Source organism: Homo sapiens, chromosome 9 (genome assembly GCF_000001405.40).
Source record: "Homo sapiens chromosome 9, GRCh38.p14 Primary Assembly".
In the NCBI taxonomy this organism is placed as follows: Eukaryota; Metazoa; Chordata; class Mammalia; order Primates; family Hominidae; genus Homo; species Homo sapiens.
In genome coordinates this window covers 16,015,734-16,036,219 of record NC_000009.12, presented here as the reverse complement: position 1 = coordinate 16,036,219, position 20,486 = coordinate 16,015,734, and the positions used below count along the sequence as shown (strand labels likewise).

General features: G+C 42.1%; 1 protein-coding gene across 5 annotated transcripts in view, besides 1 other annotated feature; it reads right to left on the bottom strand.

Annotated features, from left to right (window-relative positions):
* CCDC171 (coiled-coil domain containing 171) overlaps nt 1–20,486 on the bottom strand; it is a 556,042-nt gene that overhangs the window by 72,707 nt on the left and 462,849 nt on the right. For 2 of the 5 annotated variants that reach the window (XR_007061261.1, XR_001746227.3), the window contains exon 26: nt 14–127. Coding sequence is in view for 2 of the 5 variants with exons in the window: in XM_017014432.3 (XP_016869921.1) it covers nt 17,812–17,917 (106 nt within the window). In the remaining 3 variants the exon portion in view is untranslated. Of the gene's footprint in view, nt 1–13; nt 128–12,845; nt 13,889–17,796; nt 17,918–20,486 lie in introns of those variants that run through there. The other 3 variants (XR_001746228.3, XM_017014437.3, XM_017014432.3) reach the window with 3 other exon arrangements.
* Nucleotides 4,945–6,144: an enhancer, noted in NCBI's record as "P300/CBP strongly-dependent group 1 enhancer chr9:16030074-16031273 (GRCh37/hg19 assembly coordinates)". NCBI's record gives its function as "activates an origin of replication core promoter dependent on BRD2, BRD4, P300/CBP, MED14 and CDK7 cofactors, with strong dependence on P300/CBP, by STARR-seq in HCT116 cells {active_cell/tissue: HCT116}" and the evidence as "EXISTENCE:reporter gene assay evidence [ECO:0000049][PMID:35650434]".

Below are 20,486 nucleotides of genomic sequence, written 5' to 3'. Positions count from 1 at the left end.
GTGTCTTTCTCACCTTGGGCCAGGAATCCATGTCCAATGCAGCCAGCTATAGGCAAAGACAAGGTCTCATAGTACTTAGGGAACTTCCTGTTGGTCTGTGGAGAAAGAACTTTTCTGGCAAGAGGGCCTAGAGGAAGGGAAGAAGTGATCATTAGAGGAAACAATTAGTATCCCTGAAACCAATAACTTTTCTTCAACACTTCTCTTGTATAAATCTATGCCATCAATGATTGTGTACCCCCAGCTGTGGGCACAAAATTATTAAAGGTAAGAGTCAGCTGTTGTAACCAGGGAAGGTGTTGATAGTGTTTCACAGGAAACATCAAGGTGAGCCTGTTTCTGCATAGCGGTAGAATTTATTTTCAACTCTGATCAAATGTGTAAGTTACTCTTCCACACAACATAGCCCAGTGACTGACATAGTGGATATTGAATAAATATTTGTTGAAACAAATATCAATCCCCTCTTCTAATCTTCAGTAAGGGGAGAATGAAACACATAGAGGCAGCAGGGAGAAAATGTTCAGAGAGCCAGAAAGCTATAAAGCCATGCTCACAGAAAGGTAAATCTTTCCTGGAGAAATAAGTAACTAGAAGCAGGCAGTAAGCAAAGAATGCTGGAGGAAAGTAATCTCTTTTAGAAATCATCATAAATGCTTGGAACTTGGAGTGGATTTTGAATTAGCATACATACCAAGATGGAGAGTGTTCTTCAGTTCATAAATAAGAGCGCTGTCACAGGTGGTGACATTCGCCACAGATCCTAGGGCAGGAAGTAATCTGTGAACTCGGGTGTTAAATTAAGAGAAAGCACACCCCACAAAAAAAGAAGACAATTCTCTTAGACATAACTGCATAAGAGATTTAGGGGGAAAGAACCAAAATTTTTTTAAAGGGATCCACTGTGTTAGTTTTTTATATCTAATAATGTCCATGTTAATTATGTATTAACATATATGTAGTTCAAATCCTCCTGTGGATTCTTTCTTAGTATGTTCTTTTTGTTTTTAAGACCGAATTTGAAGGATCTCTCCAAATGCTGTTATAAACAGATATCTGAATTAGCTGAGAGCTGCAGTCAAAACCTGGGAGCTAAGAAAACAGTTCCCTTACAAAATGCTGCTTTACCTAAGTTTTCTTTATTCTCAGTATATAATTTATTCGATTCAGCCCTACTAACGGAGACGTCAAAGGTCTTGGGGTAGCCATCTGGTTGAAAGATGGGGGCTGGCAGACTCAATTTGGAACTGTGTTTGCATATCAAGTGTACTATGTTTCTTCTCAATTGTGCATTTATTAAGTTTGGCCTGGGGATAGGGGAGGATAGACCCCACTCTCCAAGTTAACCCTTGGGCCCAGAAAATTTGAAAACCAAATGGAGGACTCCACATGTAAAAACTCTGGAGAATAAAGCCCACAGCACAAAAAACATGATTGTAGTGCCAATCTGAGATCCAGGGAAGCTTTGGTAGGTAAAGTCTCATGCTATATTAGCTTTCCAAAAAACTAAAGCCACCTGTCCCCCAGGATTGGGGCAGTGTCCATCACAGTGGTGAGAACACTGGCCCCTTGTCCATTCTGATGGACAGAACTACGACAGGAGGCTTCCTTGAGGCGTTCAAGAGAACTCAACTATGTCACACGCACTGAAACATCTAATTACAGTAATGACCTCCACACTGAACCTTGGTTGCACTCCCAACAGTGTCTCCTGCAGTTGTTCTCAGCTCAAATCAAATTACTGTGGAAAAAATGTGTGAGATCTCCCTTCCCACAATGAAGTAAAAAGGGCAGTTTACCACCCGTTGAAAATCATCTCACCAGACTACTATTATTCTAGTACAAGAATGTGCAGAATGTGTCAAATGTGTGTGTCAAATGTGTGTCAAATTAGGTGGCCTCCCTCCTGAAACCATTAAATCTTTGCATCTCTTCATAAGGAAGGCTGATAGACGCCAATGGTGGGAACTCCAACACAACTGAAGTCACGCCTCTTGCTACAAAAACCAGGAGGGCTCTGCGGCAACCCAAAGCCAGTGACTGAACCTAGCACCTGTCAGTGCACGTTGTTGCTTCCTTCCCCCAGGTAATTCTTTCGGGAAATGCTACTAGGTGGCATGTTTCCCCTCTTTCAGCATTCCTGAAAATATGTAAGATATGAGATAAGCACTTGATCTTCAAACTTATATTAAGAAGCTTAGGTGAACAAATTCTGTTGTGCACATGTGAAGCACGCAGAATTCTGGGGCAGCCTCAGGCTGGAAGACACCATTCCACTCCCCTCCTCCCTTGAGCTCCCTGTGTGGGCACCACTGACAACCAGGAGGCACACCTGCCCTTGGGGCCCTGCCACCCGATCTTAGCATAGGATGTTGGGAGAACCTAGACAATTTCCTGAGTCTCTCTGTCCTCGGTTTCCTCTTTCTCAGGAAGACTATGGGAGGTTAATACAGTAACACAGCATCCCCAACCTTTTCGGCACCAGGGACTGGTTTTGTGTAAGACAGTTTTTCCACAGACAGGGGGTGGGGGGTAGGGGGATGGTTTCGGGATGGTTCAAGCGCATTAGATTTATTGTGCTAGGTTTTCTATTATTGTTACATTGTAATATATAATGAAATAATTATACAACTCACCATAATGTAGAATCAGTGGGAGCCCTGAGCTTGTTTTCCTGCAACTAGGCCGTCCCATCTGGGGGTGATGGGAGACAGAGACAGATCATCAAGCATTAGATTCTCGCAAGGAACGCAACCCAGATCCCACGCATGCGCGGTTTACAACAGGGCTTGCGCTCCTATGAGAATCTAATGCCGCTGCTGTTCTGATAGGAGGTGGAGCTCGGGCCGTAATGTGAGCGATGGAGAGTGGCTGTAAGTACAGATGAAGCGTCCATCACTCTCCTGCCACTCACCTCCTGTTGTGCAGCCCATTTCCTAACGGGCCACGGACTGGTACCAGTTTATGGCCCAGGGGTTGGGGACCCCTATAATAACGCATACAAAGCAGCAATATCAGACACGTACTAGAGCCTTCCCTTGCTTCCATGACTCTGTGGTATTGAGATGATGCCTGCTTGTGGTTTTATCCTAGCCCTGTACAGTGGACACTGGTGTTTCTGTTTGTCCAGCTCCAGTTCCCTCAGTCCTCTTCCAGGAACCTCTCCTCCCTGGCTCATGGTTTGGGTGCCCTCCTCTGGCCAGCAGGTGAGAATGTGACCCACGCTAAACCAGCTGGAATTGCCCTCCTAAGAATGTGGATCTTGGGGAGGAGCTTACTAAGACAGAAGGCTTTTAGAGCTCATTAAACCTGGAATCCAGGCCCTGGAGAGCCTGTGCATTTGTCCCTGTTTTGCCAAATCCCTACAGCTGCCTTGATTCTCACCCCTTCCTCAGGTTCTAGGAGCTAATCCTTATCCTTACAAGAAGTTCCCTGTTGGCCAGGCATGGTGGCTTATGCCTGAAATCCCAGCATTTTGGGAGGCCTAGGTGGGAGGATCACTCGAGCCCAGGAGTTTGAGGCTGCTATGAGCTATGATCGTGCCACTGTACTCCAGCCTGGGCAATAGAGCAAGACCCTGTCTCTAAAAAACAAAGTTCTCTGCTCCTTGGAGCCAACCTGGATATCTGTGCTTTGCAATGTGTCTCGGTCCCCACTTCGCTGTACAGATGAGAAAACATTCCCAGGTCAGGGAAACTAATGTGGAAGTAGGAGAGAAGCCAGATCCCAGACTGGCCACCTATGCCCTCTGCTGCCCTCTCTGAACTCTCTTCTTGGCGTCTCGTGCATGGCCAGTGACCCTTCTCCTCCCTGCCAGTCCTCCACATTGCTCTCTTATGTTCCACATCATCCAAGCTTGCAAACCATCGTCTATTTCAACTCTTGTCTTTTTTTCCCCTCAGGTGTCAGGTTATTTTCATAAATCTTCATTTTAAAATAAACCTTGGTGTCTCATTCACCACAACATTTCTAAAATGCATTCCTCTGCCAGCATGCTCATTCCAGAGCAGGGCCCTTCCCGCTTGAATGTTGGCAGCATCCTACCCACTTGGCTTCCTCTCCTGCCACCTTCCTCCCTCACAGAAAGCAAATGAGGTTTGGACTTGGGTGGGTTGAAAGCCCATCCATGCATGTCATGCATAACATTCCCTTCCTCGGCACGGATGCATTCCTAGACAAAAAGGCCTTTGAACATGTTTCTCTCAGGGCCCGTTTGGCACCATTTTGTGAGTTGAGCAGCACTGGCCGTGCTCCCCTGCTGAAGAGCAAGCAGTGGGAACTGAGGAAGGGCAAGCTCAGTCTCTGCCCTGCTCTGGGGGCTGCCTGTACAGCTGGATCCTGGGGGCTGCCACATCCCACAGAGCCCTGGGGTGGAGGGCATGCTCACAGACCATGGTGTCCAGTAGCTACCCCATCTCAACATGTTCCCCCTAGTTGAGCCTCATCAAAAATGGCCCTGTTTGGCAGCCAGGGAATCCTATCGACCCCTCAGGAAGTGGTTACATATTATGATTCAGTGTACCTCTTGCAGCTGGGAAATGCATTCTCTGGGCTGTCCTCAGGGGGCCCATAAGGAATTCACACCTGTGATTAGCTTAACTGGCCATTCGATTTCCCTAAAGCCCTATACAGATCCAATTGAGGGAGCAGCTCCCTGACCATGAACAACTTGGTTTTTTAGAGAGAAATTAGGGTGCAACAGATTCAGGTAATTTAGCATATCACAGTAAACACTGTGACTCTAGTGTGGCTAGATTATTGCCAACATCTACAGTGAAGAGTGTATCTGCTGGTTGGTATATATACAACTTACCACATGTTGTTAGATTTTTACTGAACATTCTTTCAAGTTTTTCAGGTGTGAAATATTGGATTTACTAGTCACTAAAAATTTCCTATGCTACTTAAAATGAGATTAGTAACTTACTTTTGTGTAGTACTTAGTAGCATGTTATCCCATAGAATGCCCACACATGTGGAACATGCATTGGTGTTCCAGTTGGGAGAAGCTATTTTTACAAATGCAGGCTGAAAAACCTATTTTCAAATGAATGCTCCTAAACATAAAATTCACCTTAAACCTAAGCCCCCAACCAGCATTCAAGAAAGAAGAGAAAGTGGGCAACATTCAACCACTAATTTCATGGCCATGTTGCCTAAGGTGAGGTCTCTAAGTGATTTCTTAAACTCAAACCTCTGGCCCCAGACTCGACTTGGCTCTTCTTCTTTGTCTCCAGTGTATTCTTGTGCCCCTGAACGCTGAATCACAGGCAAAGGTTTCCAGTATTTTCATTCTCTTTCTGCTTTGAAGTCCATTAATCTTCATGTTGATTTTCCCTCCACCCTCTTGAAAAAAATATCTGCGTTCCCCAGATGGAAAGCCAGGAGTTGGCACCTTGGGAAGCGATCACATGGAGTGGGAATGGTAGGAGAGGCAAGCTCCTGGCCAGCGTGGTGAGCCGCCACCACAAACCATGCCCTACAGCGCGGGAAGGGAAATGAGTCAGGTCCTCTGCATTCTGTGGTCACAAACCCAGAGCCTCTGTCACCTCTTTCCTCCCTGTGGGTGTGTGCCTGACCAAGCATGGGACCTCCTGGTGAGAAGCAGTACTAGACAGATGTTCCTTTGTCCTTAACATACCATACACACTGCTACTTTTGCATATCAAATGTTCATATTCTCAATCTAAACCCACTTTAAATCAACACATTCTTTTTCTAGTAAAGATAAATTGAACAGTACACACCTATAGACTATGTACTAAAATCTTTTAAAGTGCTTCAAAATAGATGAAATTTCTATACACATTTTTATATCTAAACAACAAATATGTACATAACTAAATATGAATCTGTACATTTATCTATTCATCCAAATATGCCATTCATATAAAACACACAGAGGTATAATGAACGGGAAAATAAAAAGACTGATGATGACCACTACTGCTGCTGCTACCACTACTAGATATATAAAGAGTAACTGAAATTACCAGTCTGCTGTTGTCTAAATGTTTGTGACCTTGCCTCAAAATGTATGTGTTGATACCAAATCACCAAGGTGATGGTATTAAAGGCGGGGTCTTTGGGACATGATAAGATCATGAGGGCTCTCTCCTTATGAATGGGATTAGTGCCCTTAAAAAAGAGGCCCCAGAGAGCCGCCTTGCCCTCTTGCCTTTCTGCCATGTGAGCACAAACAAAAGGTGCTATCAATGAGGAACAGCCCCTTACCAGGCACCAAATCTGACAGCTTTGATCTTGGACTTCCCAGCCTCCAGAACTGTGGGAAATAAATTCCAGTTTATAAACTACTCTGTCTAAGGTATTTTGCCATAACAGCCCAAACTATGACTTAGTCCCAGTTGGCAAGGAGCTATGGTCCAGCTAGTTGAACACATACAAGCCCCTCAGTCATTGAAACCTCAGACTATTATCTGAGTCTTTCTCATCTTTACTTTGTTCACCAATTTGGTTCCCAAGTCTTTCTCCTTCTAGCTCCAAAAATCTCACATTTATCACCCTATCTTTTCCTCTCTAACCCTGACAGCCTCAACTATACTTCAGGCCCTTCTGCTTCTGTCCCAGACTGCAGTAATAGCCTCCTTTCAGGCATAGGATATTGGCTTTAAGAGTCTACCAACATAGGCAGGCCTAACAAATACAGAGCACTCCTACTGCCCCTATTCCCTCAACCTTAGCAGACCATCCTAATCAATCCCAGATCTTTTCCCGTGAGCCCAGATGTGGCCACACAGCTTTTGTCAGCACAGCCCTCCAAGCATCACCAATTTATCAGAGTTCCTCTAGAGACAAAATCTATTTACCATCCCTGACCCAAGTCCTTTAAAACGAGGTTACTCAACCAGGAGGGAACATCAGGATCACAGATGTCTGAATCATCTAAGACCTAAGACCTAAACCAGAATTTTTGTGGGCATGAATTATGGGCATTTTAAAATGTATTATGCATGATTTTGGTGTGCACTCATCGAGGACTAAGTAAAACAAGCCCAAATCAGAAGATGTTGCCCCTTCTAAGACCTCTCTCTCCTCTCCTTTTACCACTTGTTGCCTTACAGCCCTCACTACTTCCTATTCCACGTCTAAAAATCTTAAACTTTCTCGACCCAGCGCCTGCCGTCTTCCATTTGGACACTAGATACATTATTCTGGGTCTTTTCAGAAGAAGAGGCCAAGAGGGGGCTCTATGCTCAAGGCTTTTTACCAGGGCAAGCCCCTAGAGAAAAAAAGGCACCGGCAGAGGCTGGAGAGCTGTCAGACTACAGTACAGGTCTGACTCCATGAAAAGGAAGGAAGGAAAGAAGGTTGGTTGGAAGTGCCTTAGACTGCAGTGCAATACTAGGGGAAGTCCCAGAGCCAAAGTCGTCCATCAGAGAGGTCCCATGCCTAGCATCCCTGCCATGCCAAGTCACTGACTGAGAGCAGCCCACGGGAAGCACAGCCTTGGGACAAATGCAGCAATTTCAGAATACAGCAGCTGGGGCCTCAGTCAGTGAATTATTCTCCCTGCAGTTGGAGATCTGAGAGGTGCATTCTCAGAGCTGCCACACCAGGAGCTAGAGCTGCCAGGAGCTAGAGCTGCCAGATTTAACAAAACTGACAGGAGCTAGAGCTGCCAGACTTAACAAAAGTGCAGGATGACAAGTAAGTTTTTATTTCAGATAAACAACAAATAATATTTAGTATGAGTGTGCCCATATATGGGTGTCTTATATTTCATCTGGTAACCCTGACTGTAGCTCCTTTTGTACTAGACTTTATCTGTGAAAAATCCTTTCTCTTTTGTACTAGATCTACTTTGGTCTGCTTTAGTACCCACATCGCTGAGTATCATCTTAACAGATCCCTCTCCCGGTCGGTCTCTCTGCTAACCAGACATCCATTCTCCCCACTACTCCAAATCATTCTTCTGGGAACACTGTGGTCATGCCACCCATCCACCACGGAAGAAGCTTCCAATAGCTCCATGGCTTTCAGATTGGACCTCAGTGTCTGGTATCAGGACGTGCATTTGCAACACTAATTGCCGCTGACTTTCCAGTCCCTGGCTCCAATCAGACCAAGACTCATGGCCATGAAGACATATCTCCTGCCTTTGCTTATGCTGGCCCCCCTCCCTGGAATGTCCTTCACAAAATTTAACCTATGTGTCAAGGCTAGTTCAAATGCTGCCTTCTCCTTGAAGGGATAAGCTAAGTATACCATTACTCTGCCCAGAACCCCTTACACCTAGTGATACAGGAAGCAGCTGAAATAATATGGGAAGATATAACTTGATATGCTCTGAATGTGGAGCTTTCCATACAGACATGATTTCAGCAAACAATATTTCCCAATTCCATGTGTGGCATTAATATCAACAGCTCTTATACAACCAACAGGGTAAGTCTTGCTTTTAGCCCCGGTGCAGATGTTTAATTAATCAGGGCTGCCGTCCCTGTTCGCCCTTGACTGGGTTTCCCTGATGATTACCCACTGAAAAACTCAGCCCTTTAATGCAAACAATGTCCTGATTAATGTTTTGTGCCGTGCACCAGGCTTGGCGAGTGGGCCCTTCATTAGGGAATCAGCCTGGACTGCAATACTCAGTCCTGAAAACTCAAACCTGACTTCATACACAAGCGCCTTTCCATTTGATTGTATGTTAAACATTTGCTTAACTCTCTTTCCTTCCTCGCAACTTTGATTTTGGGGAGAAAAGTTTGCATCAGGTGAATATAAAATATTAAATTATTCTGAGTCAGCATAGTTTTGAGACTGACTTGAGTGGTGGAGACGCCCTCCACCCAGCTGTATCAGTGCCTCTCTGCAGTCATAAGCTTGGGTGTTCCTTTCTTTTGTTGGTGGTCCAGGTATTCAGTCAGTCAGTCTCTTTCTCTCTCTTTTACTAGAAAAGGGGGTTGGAGGGAGGATCAGATGATGAAATGAAAACCTTTAAATAAAATATCATTCCCACAAAGGAAAAGAAATTTCCTCTGGGTCATTATCAGTGGAAGCCCAGAGAAAAGATAATAAGCACAAGATTCCTGATTAATTAAACATTTGTGCTCATTGTATGCAATTATTCTGGGGAAAATCAACTCCGGGACATCTGTTTACTCAACCTTGGGCTGAGAAACCACCAAACTACTTCTGCCCTGCATCACCAAGTGCAATATCAAGGCATAGAACTGATAGCTCATAAGCCCGAGGCATAGGCCCACTAATTTTCTAGGTTGGAAACAGATGACCATGCTGCATGAGCAATAAATTATAAAGACTGAGTAAACTCACAGAGGGTTAACTGGGGAAATCTAAAGTGACAATATATTAATATAATACATATTTACCAATACACATAATTGTGTTATGCTACAGAGCAATTAAATATAGATGATAAACATTTTTGTGAATGCTTTATTATTGCTTTTTATCCAGTGAAACCACATTTCTAGCTTTTTCTTTTTTACCTAGTTATATCTCCAGTTTTAATGATTTTCCTATTACCAGTAACCCCTTAACTGTCATCCCTGTCTAATCTCCTGCCTCTGGAAGTTGGGGCAGAGAAATGTCCTTACTCAGCCCTGTGGGAGCCCAGGACTGGACAGAAGCGAATATTTCTCCCATTATCAACTGATGAGCAAAATTCACAAGTTCCGTATTGAGGATCAAGGTCCAAGAATAGGTTAAATGATTACCCACTGGATAAAGGGGTCAAAGGGGTGGAGACGCAGGGCAACAAAGGAGCAAGGGCCCTTGAGGTGGCTTGAAAACACACTGACTGGATTCCAGATGCCTGTAGCAACTTCTTGTGAATCTCCCACCCCAAATCCAGGGACTCCAGGGAGGGGTAGTCTGGATTCACAGCCAGAGAACCTTTATTAGAGGTGATCAAATGAGCACAAGTGTTTGAGGAATAGGTAATGACTGGTTGAATCTCCCTGTCTATCCAACACCACGTGTATCTGTTGAGACCCTGGCTCTGGTGTGGCAGGGTTAGGGTGACCCCAGCTTTACCAAGCAGAGGACTCCACAACCTTTAGGTTCCTCTGTGAGGGGTGAGATGGGTTACGACACCCACTCCTCTGACCCAGGTCCTCTCCAGCAAAACATGGAGCGTGACATGGTATCTCTGAGTATCGTGATCTTCCCTTACCATACAGTTGAGCCTGGTTTCCTTACCAGTGTGGATGCTAGCCGTAGGGTGACCAACTCATCCCACTTTGCCTGGGACTGTCTTGTTTTTTAAAAAATTGTTTAATTATAGTAAAATTCACATAACACAAAATTCACTATTTCAGCATGCGCAATTAGTGGCTTTTAGTGCATTCATGTTGTGCAACCACTGTTATTATCTAGTTCCAGAACATTTCATCACTCCCAAAGGAGACCCCACACCCATTGGCAGTCATTCCCTATTTCCCCTTCCCTAAGATCTCAGCAACCACTGATCTGCTTTCTGTCTTTATACATTTTCCCACTTCTGGACATTTCAGATAAATGGAATTATACAGTAAATGGGCTTTTGTGACTAGTTTTTTTCACTTAGCTTAGTGTTTCCAAGGTTCATCTATGTTATTGCATGTTTCAGTGCTTCATTACTTTTAATGGCTGAATCATATTCCACTGTATGGCTAAAGTACATTTTGTTTATTCATCGGTTGATGGACACTTGAGTTGCTTTTTCCTTTTGGCCACTGTGAATAGTGCCACTATCAATATCCCTGTCCAAGTTTTTTTGTTTGTTTGTTTGTTTTTGAGAGGAAGCCTCACTCTGTCACCCAGGCTAGGCTGCAGTGCCGTGGCGCAATCTCAGCTCACTGCAAGCTCTACCTCCTGGGATCCCTACTGGTTTCAAGCAATTCTCCTGCCTCAGCCTCCCGAGTAGCTGGGATTACAGGCGCACATGACCACATCAGGCTAATTTTTGTATTTTTAGTAGAGACAGCATTTTACCATGTTGGCCAGGCTGGTTTTGAACTCCTGACCTCCGGAGATCCACCTGCCTTGGCCTCCCAAAGTGCTGAGATTACAGGTGTGAGCCACCATGCCCAGCCCCTGTTCAAGTTTTTATGTGGACATATATTTTCAGTTATTTGGGGCATACCCTTAGGAATGAAGTTGCTGGGTCATATGGTTATTCTACGTTTAACTTACTGAGGAACTGTCAAACTGTTTTCCAAAGTGGCTGTACCAGTTTACATTCCCACCAGCAAGGTATGAAAGGACTGTCTTGGTTTTAAAATGGAAAGTCCCATGTCTGGGAATGGAAAGTTCCATGTCTGGGAACTGCCTCAGTCCCAGGCATCTGAGATGATTGGTTATCCAAATAGCAGGTTCTCAGCATACAGGCTGGGCTTCCCAGGATACTATCTCTGAGTGGCCCTAAATTTCGGGTGCCGTATATGTAGGTATCCCCTCTGCATACATGTTCTTCCATATTGTTTCTGTTTATTGTATCCATGATGCATGGCTACAACTTCCTTTGGTCACATGACTTTCCTATTCCTGAAATGATGCCACCTCTTGATATGTGCTCTGGTTTCCAGAATAAAGGGAATTGCTTGGGTTGCTGGCTGCATGCAGCAGAAGGTAAAATCAAACCTGTCCAAGAAAGTAGCACACAGTTCCTCTTCTGAACCTGCGTTGCTAGGTCTGCCTCATCTGCTCTGGCTTCTGGTGGTCTGAGCATGCCTATGAGGGGTTCTTCTATGCCTGAGGAAGCCATGGTAACAACCAATAATTCATTTCCGTATGGAGTAGCTGCTCTCATAGGGGGCCCAGCTTCTGGAAGTGGATAGAAAGGAGGAGATGTTGGGAGTTGGCTCCTTCTAAATTAGAGTAATCTCCCTTTAGAGTGGATGCTCTAAGTTTGATTATATGGGCCTGGTCCAGTTTGAGGTAGGATAGGATTAAGGTATTGTATTAGTTTCCTATTTTTATTGTAACAAATTACTGTAAGTTTACTATGGTAAATTTAAAACAACGTAAATTTATTATCTTAAAGTTCTGGAGGTCAGAAGTCCAAAATAAGTCTTATAAGGCTAAAATCAAGGTGTAGACAGAGCTGCATTCCTTTGGGAGGATCTAGGTGAGACTCTATTTCCTTGCCTCTTTAAGCTTGCATTCTTTGGCTCATGGCCCCTTCCTCCATCTTCAAAGTGCATTACGCTGACCTCTGCTTCCCTCATCACAACTTTTTCTCTCATGGACCTTCTTATTTTCCTCTTATAAACACCCTGGGATTACATTAGAGCCACACACATATTCCAGGATAATCTCCCCATGTCAAGATTCTTAATTTAACCAGAAAGTTCCTTTTGCCATGTAAGGTAACATGGATCCAGGGAGTGGATATCTTTGTGGGGGTGGGGGGAGGGTGGCATTATTCTGTCTGAAATAGACATATTTGAACACCAGAAAACCTCAGCTGTGACAGTGACCAGTTGAATTCCTTACTGATCTTGAGATGATCAAATACTGAAACATTCAGAGAAAAAAAGCAAAAAAAAAGTTGAATAAGCAATTAGTAATGCCCAATGAACCCACCAATTCATGAACATCTTTGTTTATTCTGGAAGTCTCCCAGTTGGAAAGGGCTGAGTCCTTCAGGGACTTCATGCAAACATCTTGGCTGGACTGAATATGGTCCATCTCCAACCTAAGTTATTCCTCTGGACAGGGCAAGAGGTGGTGCTGCCTCAAGCTATAGGAATAAATCAGGGTGGTGATTCTTAAGTCAGTGCGGCAATGTTCATTATTTCTTGAGATGTTAATCATTTTGCTCTACTAACATGACTCATGGCCAAATTCAAATAAATTTGAGAAGAAATACAGAAAAATAAATTTGAGAAAAATTCTTTATTCCTTAAGATGTTAATCATTTTGCTATACTAAACATGGCTCATAGTCAAAGTCAGATAAATTTCAGAAACATAAATAAATCAATCTATTTGAGTCACAGAGATTACGTTTTATGTGGGGACCTGTTAGAACTGTAATATGTTAATAAGCAGTTCAAATTGCTGGGAAGGGAAAACAGAATACAATGAACCCGATCGCGCCACTGCACTCCAGCCTGGGCGACAGAGTGAGACTCCATTTAAAAAAAAAAAAGAATACAATGAACCCCCAAATGCTTTGACCTGAGAACCCCTTAGTATCCCGGCATCTATGTCTTCCAGAACTTGGGTTCTGTGGCATAGTGCTTGGGAAACACTGAATCAGGATGTGAACTATTTAGATGATGATGCTCTGTCCAGGGTTTGACCAGGGCACTGGTAATTCAACATATGAAAGGTTGCTTACCATGCATCAACCTCCTGGATGTGGCTGAAATGCCAGCACCCTGAGGTTTTGCACTATAAAGGTAAATGCTACAGGAGCAGACAAATGACTCGGCTGGTGGGACTCAGGTGGACTCCGTGATCTCTTGGGAGCAGAACACTCATTTTCCTCTTTTTGGAGAACACGCTGGCCTGGACAGGGAGATAAAGGGCCTGAAGAAGCTTTACCACAAAGTTTATGCTTTTCTATTTGGAAAAGGTCTCAATTTCAGGTGTGTTAATGGGGTGTGCCCACTTAGAGGGAATATAAAGCAATTACATTCTTGGGGATTTAAAAGCACTTACTGGTAGACTGCATGTTTGTCCAGGAACCCAGATGCAGGCAGCAGTCCCTCTCTGGGCGATCCAGAGCTGAAGCTGAAGAACAGGCATGGTACAGGGGTGAGCAGGTGCCCCAGTCACTCCCCTCTCCATAGGCCTAGTGAGCGCAGGTGGTGCATCCCACAGGATGGGTGGGAGGGCCTCCTTGGCCCTCATAGTAGCCACAGTCACCTAATCTGTGCTTCCTTCTCTGCAGACATTAGCATGATAATACCATCCTGTTTTGTGAAGGAAAGAAGACAGTGCCTATAAAAACATACAGGTCTTCAAATCTCTTTAACCTCCCTTGAGACTTTCCTGGAACTGAACCAGTACGTTCAAGACCATTCCAAATGAGTACTATTTTTCTTGATTCAATGTCGGTTAGGATATGGGGTTCCATGCCTATTCTACAATACTGCTCACTGCTGGAGTAGCCATCACCTCCTGCCAATCATGGCCACTGTGTCCACCACTCATATGCCTACTTGTCCCTTGTTCTGTAAACTGTCCAAATCATCTCTCTCCCTGGGTCCTAGATATGGTAGCAGTGGAAGCATCTATGTTCCCTCCTGCATCCATCAGGAGAGGCTGCTTAGGCTGCAGTAACAAACAACCCCTGCGTTACAGTGGTTTAAAAAGGCAAAAGTACATTTCTACCTCATTCCACATGCTCATCACTCATCAGCAGGGGATTCTGCATGGGCCTCACTCAGAGGTTCAGGCTAACAGATCCTGCACCATCTAGAACATAGCTAGCCACATAGTACAGAGATAGGGGGACATCGCAAATCTTGAATTCACTCTAAGACTTTTGCTCACATTATTTCATTATTAGTACTTTTCATAACAGCTATCATTTATTGAATACCCACTCTGGGGTCAAACACTTTTCAAACATTAGTTCATTTAATCCTCAACCACTACAAATTTATGAGACATTTATTTCCTCCATTTTTCAAGTAAGAGACTTGAATCTTAGAGAGATTAAGCAATTTATTGCAAATCTAGCAAGTCGCAGAAACTGGTTTTGATTCCTCAGCCAGCTCCCAAATCCCTGCCTTTAGTTACCTTGCCTTCCTCACTTGACAACATTCTCTGATTCCTGAACTTATTTATGTAAAAAATCTTAGAGGAATATGACAGTGAAATCATAGTTATAAATTTAAGTAATTGTCTTATTGAGGCCAGGCATGGTGGCTCACACCTGTAATCCCAGCACTTTGGGAGGCCAAGGTAGGTGGATCACGAGGTCAAGAGATTGAGACCATCCTGGCCAACATCGTGAAACCCTGTCTCTACTAAAAATACAAAAACTAGCTGGGTGTGGTGACACGTGCCTGTAATCCCAGCTACTCGGGAGGCTGAGGCAGGAGAGTCACCTGAACCCCGGAGGCGGAGGTTGCAGTGCGCCGAGATCACGCCATTGCACTCCAGCCTGGGTGACAAGAGTGAAACTCCGTCTAAAGAAAACAAAAATTGTCTTATTGAAAGTGGAAAATTCTAATGAAAAATTAAAATATAGCAAAAAGCATATAACAATTAGTGCAATACTTGCGTTTGTCTTTGCTATTCATCAGTGAGTAAAACTGCTAGTGTATCTTCCTACTTAAGCTTGTGAGAAGAACTTCATTTGTTCAGTAATTATTTCCAGTAGCCTCCTCTTAGCAGAGATTTTGCTTTCTGAGGTTTCAATTACTGGTGGTCATCCACAGTCCAAAAATATTACATGGAAATTTTCAGAAATAAACAATTGATAAGTTTTAAAATTCTCACCATTCGGAGGCACATGATGAAATGTCACACTATCCGGCACCATCCCACCTGGGACCTGAATCCTCCCTTCGTCCAGGTATCCACGGTGTGTAAGCTCCCTGCCTGTGTGTCACTCAGTAGCCATCTTGGTTGCCATGTCACAGTACTTGTGTTCAAGTAACTTTTATTTTACTCAATCATAGCTCCAAAGTGCAAACGTAGTGCTGCTGGCAATTTGGATATGTAAAGGAGAAGTCACAAAATGTTTTCTTTAAGTGAAAAAGTGGATGCTTTCCACTTAATAAGGAAAGAAAAAAATCATATGCTGTACTTGCTAAGATCTGCAGTAAAAACAAATCTTCTACAATTTCTTCATGAAATTGTAAAGAAGGAAAAAGAAATTCATGCATAGCATATATGGTTTGAATATCCCTTATTGGAAATGCCTGGAACCAGAAGTGTTTCAAATTTTTTATTTTTTTGGATTTTGGAATATTTGCATATATATAATGAGATATCTTGGGGATAGGACCCAAGTATAAACATGAAATTCGTTAGTGTTGCATACATACATTATACACATAGCCTGAAAGTAATTTGTATAATATTTTTAATAATTTTGTGCATGAAACAAAATTTGTGTTCGGTGTTATGTATGGAATTTTCCATTTATGGCATCATGTCGATGCTCAAGAGAGTTTTGGATTATGGAGCTTTTGGATTTTAAATTTGCAGATTAAGGATGCTCAGCCAGTAGAGAGGTCAGTACTACTCAAGGTTTTAAGCTTCCACTGGGGTTCTTGGAACATACCCCTTGCAGATAAAGGGGAACTATTATATTTTCTGTTTCTTTCCCCAAACATCTCTTGACAAGCCTCTGAATATTGATTCGCATTTTAAAAGAGAATTTTCAGTGCCAGAGCCTATTGATAACTTCCCTGCTGCCCAGAAGTCACTAATCAGTGACATCAACTTTCCCTTTGATACCCTTGAAATCATGCTCAGAACCAAGAGAATGAATTCACACACTTGTAATGATTAATGACCTGATTCAGTTACCATTTGTCAAAATATTTACATTTCCAGAATATTTTGATGTTTCATGGGGATAATGAAAGTAAATATTTAAAATGCAGATAGTCCTAGAAAATCTAGAAAATATGGTAATTGTAGACTGTAGCCTTTCCAAAAAAGGTGAGATTTCTCTAACCATGTCTTTCTGTTTCTCTCTGTCTCTCCCTCTCAATCTCTTTCACCCCCACCACCCCTTATCTAAACCCAGATTCCCCTCACAGCTCAACTCTTGCCCTTGCCTATGGGAAAACAAGAAACAATGGTTTTTATAAACATCCAAAGTCTGGTAGCCTTCTATCTTCCTAACAACAGAATTTAAAATCTCATCTACAGGGAATTAGTCTCTACTTGAGATGGCCCCTCATCTATCCACTAACAGAGGTCATACAATTTACTTTTACCAGGACTTGATGGGAGCCATCAACTCACTCAGATTCATCCCCACCACTCATAAACCTAGCGGAACTTGGCTTCTCAGCAGCATCTGAAGGATATTTTTTCCAGGGACCTGCCTTTGGTTCTTAGACAGGAGTAGCTGGAGAGAAGAGGTCAGGGTTCAGAAATCTTCCCCTAGTGCAATTCCATTGACAATTTCATAAAAGTCATGGGTTAAGAGTCAACTCCCAATCAAAGGCTTTAAAGAGGGACTTTGAAAGGAACTGTTAATGTTTTGCCTTTGCAACAGATTTGTTCCTGTTTTCTTAAATGAATCCACTACTTCTTTAGATTTAGTCTTCCAAACAGCCCTCAAAGTAAAAGCTGTATCATCCATAGGAAAAATTGTTCAATCTTGGTTGCTAAGTCAAATGGCAAAAAGGCATGAATACAAAGGGATTTCCTTGGAGAAGGATGTTGGTGGGCCTGACTGATGGCTTCTGAGCTCACATCATCTCTGAAAAAAGGCCCTCCTAGGTTTTTTAAGGGCCCGGTTCCCCATAACCTTTTGTAGCTCCCTTGGGTATCAGCAACTTTCTTAAAATTAGTCTAACAAAAAAAGTAGACTCAGTTATCCAATGAATTAAGGGAATTGACAGGGCCACTGTGTTGGAGCACAGCTCCACTGGGTGCCATTCATGTTATATTCTACGTAATCAGTGAACCCTGGAATTATACAACACAGCGGCCCTAGTAGGTGAGTGAGGGGTAACGAAAGATTCTTTGATTTATTACTGATTATGTTTAAATGATCATAATTCATTCAATGAAGAAACGAGTTATTTAAGAAGTTAATAAATGAATAAGGTCCAATTTTTATCAGGAAGGGAAAAATAATAATATTTGAATTAGCATGCTGCTGTATTAAACACAACAAAAAAATATTTCTTTTTAATGCTTATATATTGACATATATACAAATAAACTTACCTGAGATCTTTGGAACCCCCTGCAATGTGGGAGTATATGGAATCATCTCCTGCCCTTTCTCACTTTCACCGGGTCTCCAGTTTTGCTAAGGATAATGCTATATGCTTCTTAGAAATAATATATCTTTCTGGCCTCTGGTAGCTTCTTTTACAAGTTAGCTCAGAAAGGGTTAAAAATTGACAATTCATCTAATAGGCTAACAAGCATCACAAACACATGGGTGGATATGGGAGATTAGCACCTAACATCTATTCTACCTGCCTTCTCAGGGGTCTTCCTGCACTGTAGAAGCTAAAAAAATCTTAAAACTACATTTATTGGACTCCCTTGCAGCTATGATTCTGGATGTTATTTAATTTGGAATGCAGAAATGAGATAAGGGCATGTTTTGTGCTGCTTCTGTCATTTCCACCAGCAATTGCTGCAGTATTGTTTGGTTCTCCTATAGTAGCTTCTCCATTGTGATGGCTTCATGAGGCAGGAGCAGTTCTCTCTGTGACCCAGTGCTGCGGTGCTGCTCTTAAAGTTATATCTCAAAGCTCAACCTAGGCCTCTTTCTTGTGCAACGCATGTTATGAAATAAATATTTGTAAGCTAGGTGAATTCTATTTCTTGCTACTGAACCTGACTGATTTCAAGTTCACCCAAGGTCAGTTATAATCAAAAATATTAAAATTGTCTCATAAACTAACAAAATGCTTTAATGATATTATTAATACTTGTGCAGTTGCAGTAAAACAAGTATTCTCTACACTGCAAGTTGAAAAACAAATTAAGTATAAGCTTTTTGGTAAGTGATGAGGTAATAAGAATTAAGAACTTTGAAAGTTTATTTTCTTTAACGTAAAAATCCTTCTTCTTAGAATTCTAGCTTTAAAATATATTTTAAAAGTTGTATGGACTATGAGGTTCACTATAGTATTATTTATAATAATTAAAAATTGGAAACAAGCTAAAACTACAAGCATAAGGAATGTAAAATAATTATGCGTTGTCTATGTGACTGGCCATAGTAACAGAGGCATGTTTACATGATTCTACTGAGTTTTTAAATCAAAATGGTATTTTTTTGTGCAGTTTGAAAAAAATAATGACAATACATGTAAACATGCAAAGAAAATAATGTCAATATACCAATAAAAATGGGAAAATAGTATTTTCTGGATAAAGGGTATAGACAGCATTTTTATTTATTTCACTTTTCTGGTTTCCTCCTTAATTTTTAAAATTAAAATATACAATAGAAAAATTAACTTTAAAAAAGAACATAATCTACTCCACCACCAATAACCTTTTGTGGTTAAGTTTTTACTGCTCAAGTTCATCATTCCCTGCCCCAACATCCAATATTTATTGAGAAGGCCCTTTAACATCACAAGACTCTAATGCCATGCACTGATTTTTACGATCTTACTGGAAAACTGCTGGGTGCATAGAAAAGTATTTGTGCATGCTGTCTGCATGCATATCATATATCATTTTAGATTGCTAGGCAGTAAAGGAAGAACACCATAAACACTAATTTTTACTCCTAGATGGCTTAGTAATTTGCTAAATGTCCTTGTAATTGCTTCTAATTATTCATTACATTAGAGTAGAAGGTGGCAGCTATAAATTTTCAATGAAAACAAAATTTAAATACAATGCATCCAAATGTCTCTGCAGACCCAAGTGGCAACCTGTTTTTCGTATTAGGGAAATCCAACAGACACCAGCAACACATGCTGCTTCTTAATGTAATGAAGGAGAGTGAGCCAAGGAAGTAACACTACGCTGGATTTGTGAAGAGAATGCAGAAGTGGCTCACCGACCTCATCCGTGTACCAAAGCATTTCGGGAGTTGACATCTTCTCAGGTGGGGAGTTTTCACTAATCCCCTGCACTCTCCCCTGTGAGTTGTCAGCAGCTCTGGCCATTGCTTGATTCATGCATTTATTCTTTCTTTCTTTCATTCATTCACTAAATATATATTGGGCACCTGCCTCTGAGCGAAGCTATGTGGGAAATCAAGAAGACTCTTCTAAAAGAGGCTGAGGGAAGGCAATCTGCAAGTAAATCACCACAACCCTTCCAGATAGAAGTCTCTTCTATCTAGAAGGGGATTTGAAAAATGTCTTGGAGGAGGTAGTAATGGAGCTGGACCTTGACACTTAAAATTTGACAGGATATACTGCCGCTGTGGAAAACAGTATGGCAGTTCCTCAAAAAGCTAAACACAGAACTACCATATGATCCAGCATTTCTACTTCCGGGTATATACCCCAAAGAAATGAAAGCAGGGACACAGATGTGTACATTCATGTTTATAGCAGCACTATTCACAATAGCCAAAGGTGGAAGCAACTTAAATGTCCATCAACAAATGAATGGATAAAGAAAATGTGTTATGTACGTACAATGGGATATTATTCAGCCTTAAAAATAAATGAAATTTGGATACACGCTACAACACGAATGAACCTTGAAAACATTACGCTAAGTGAAATAAGCCAGACATAAAAGAATAAACACTGTAGGAGTCAACTTATTTGGAATACTTAGAATAGTAAAATTCATAGACAGAAAGTAGAATCGTGGTTGTAAGAGATGAGAAGAGGGAGGAGTTAGTGTTTAATAGGTACAGAGTTTCAGTTGGGAAGATGG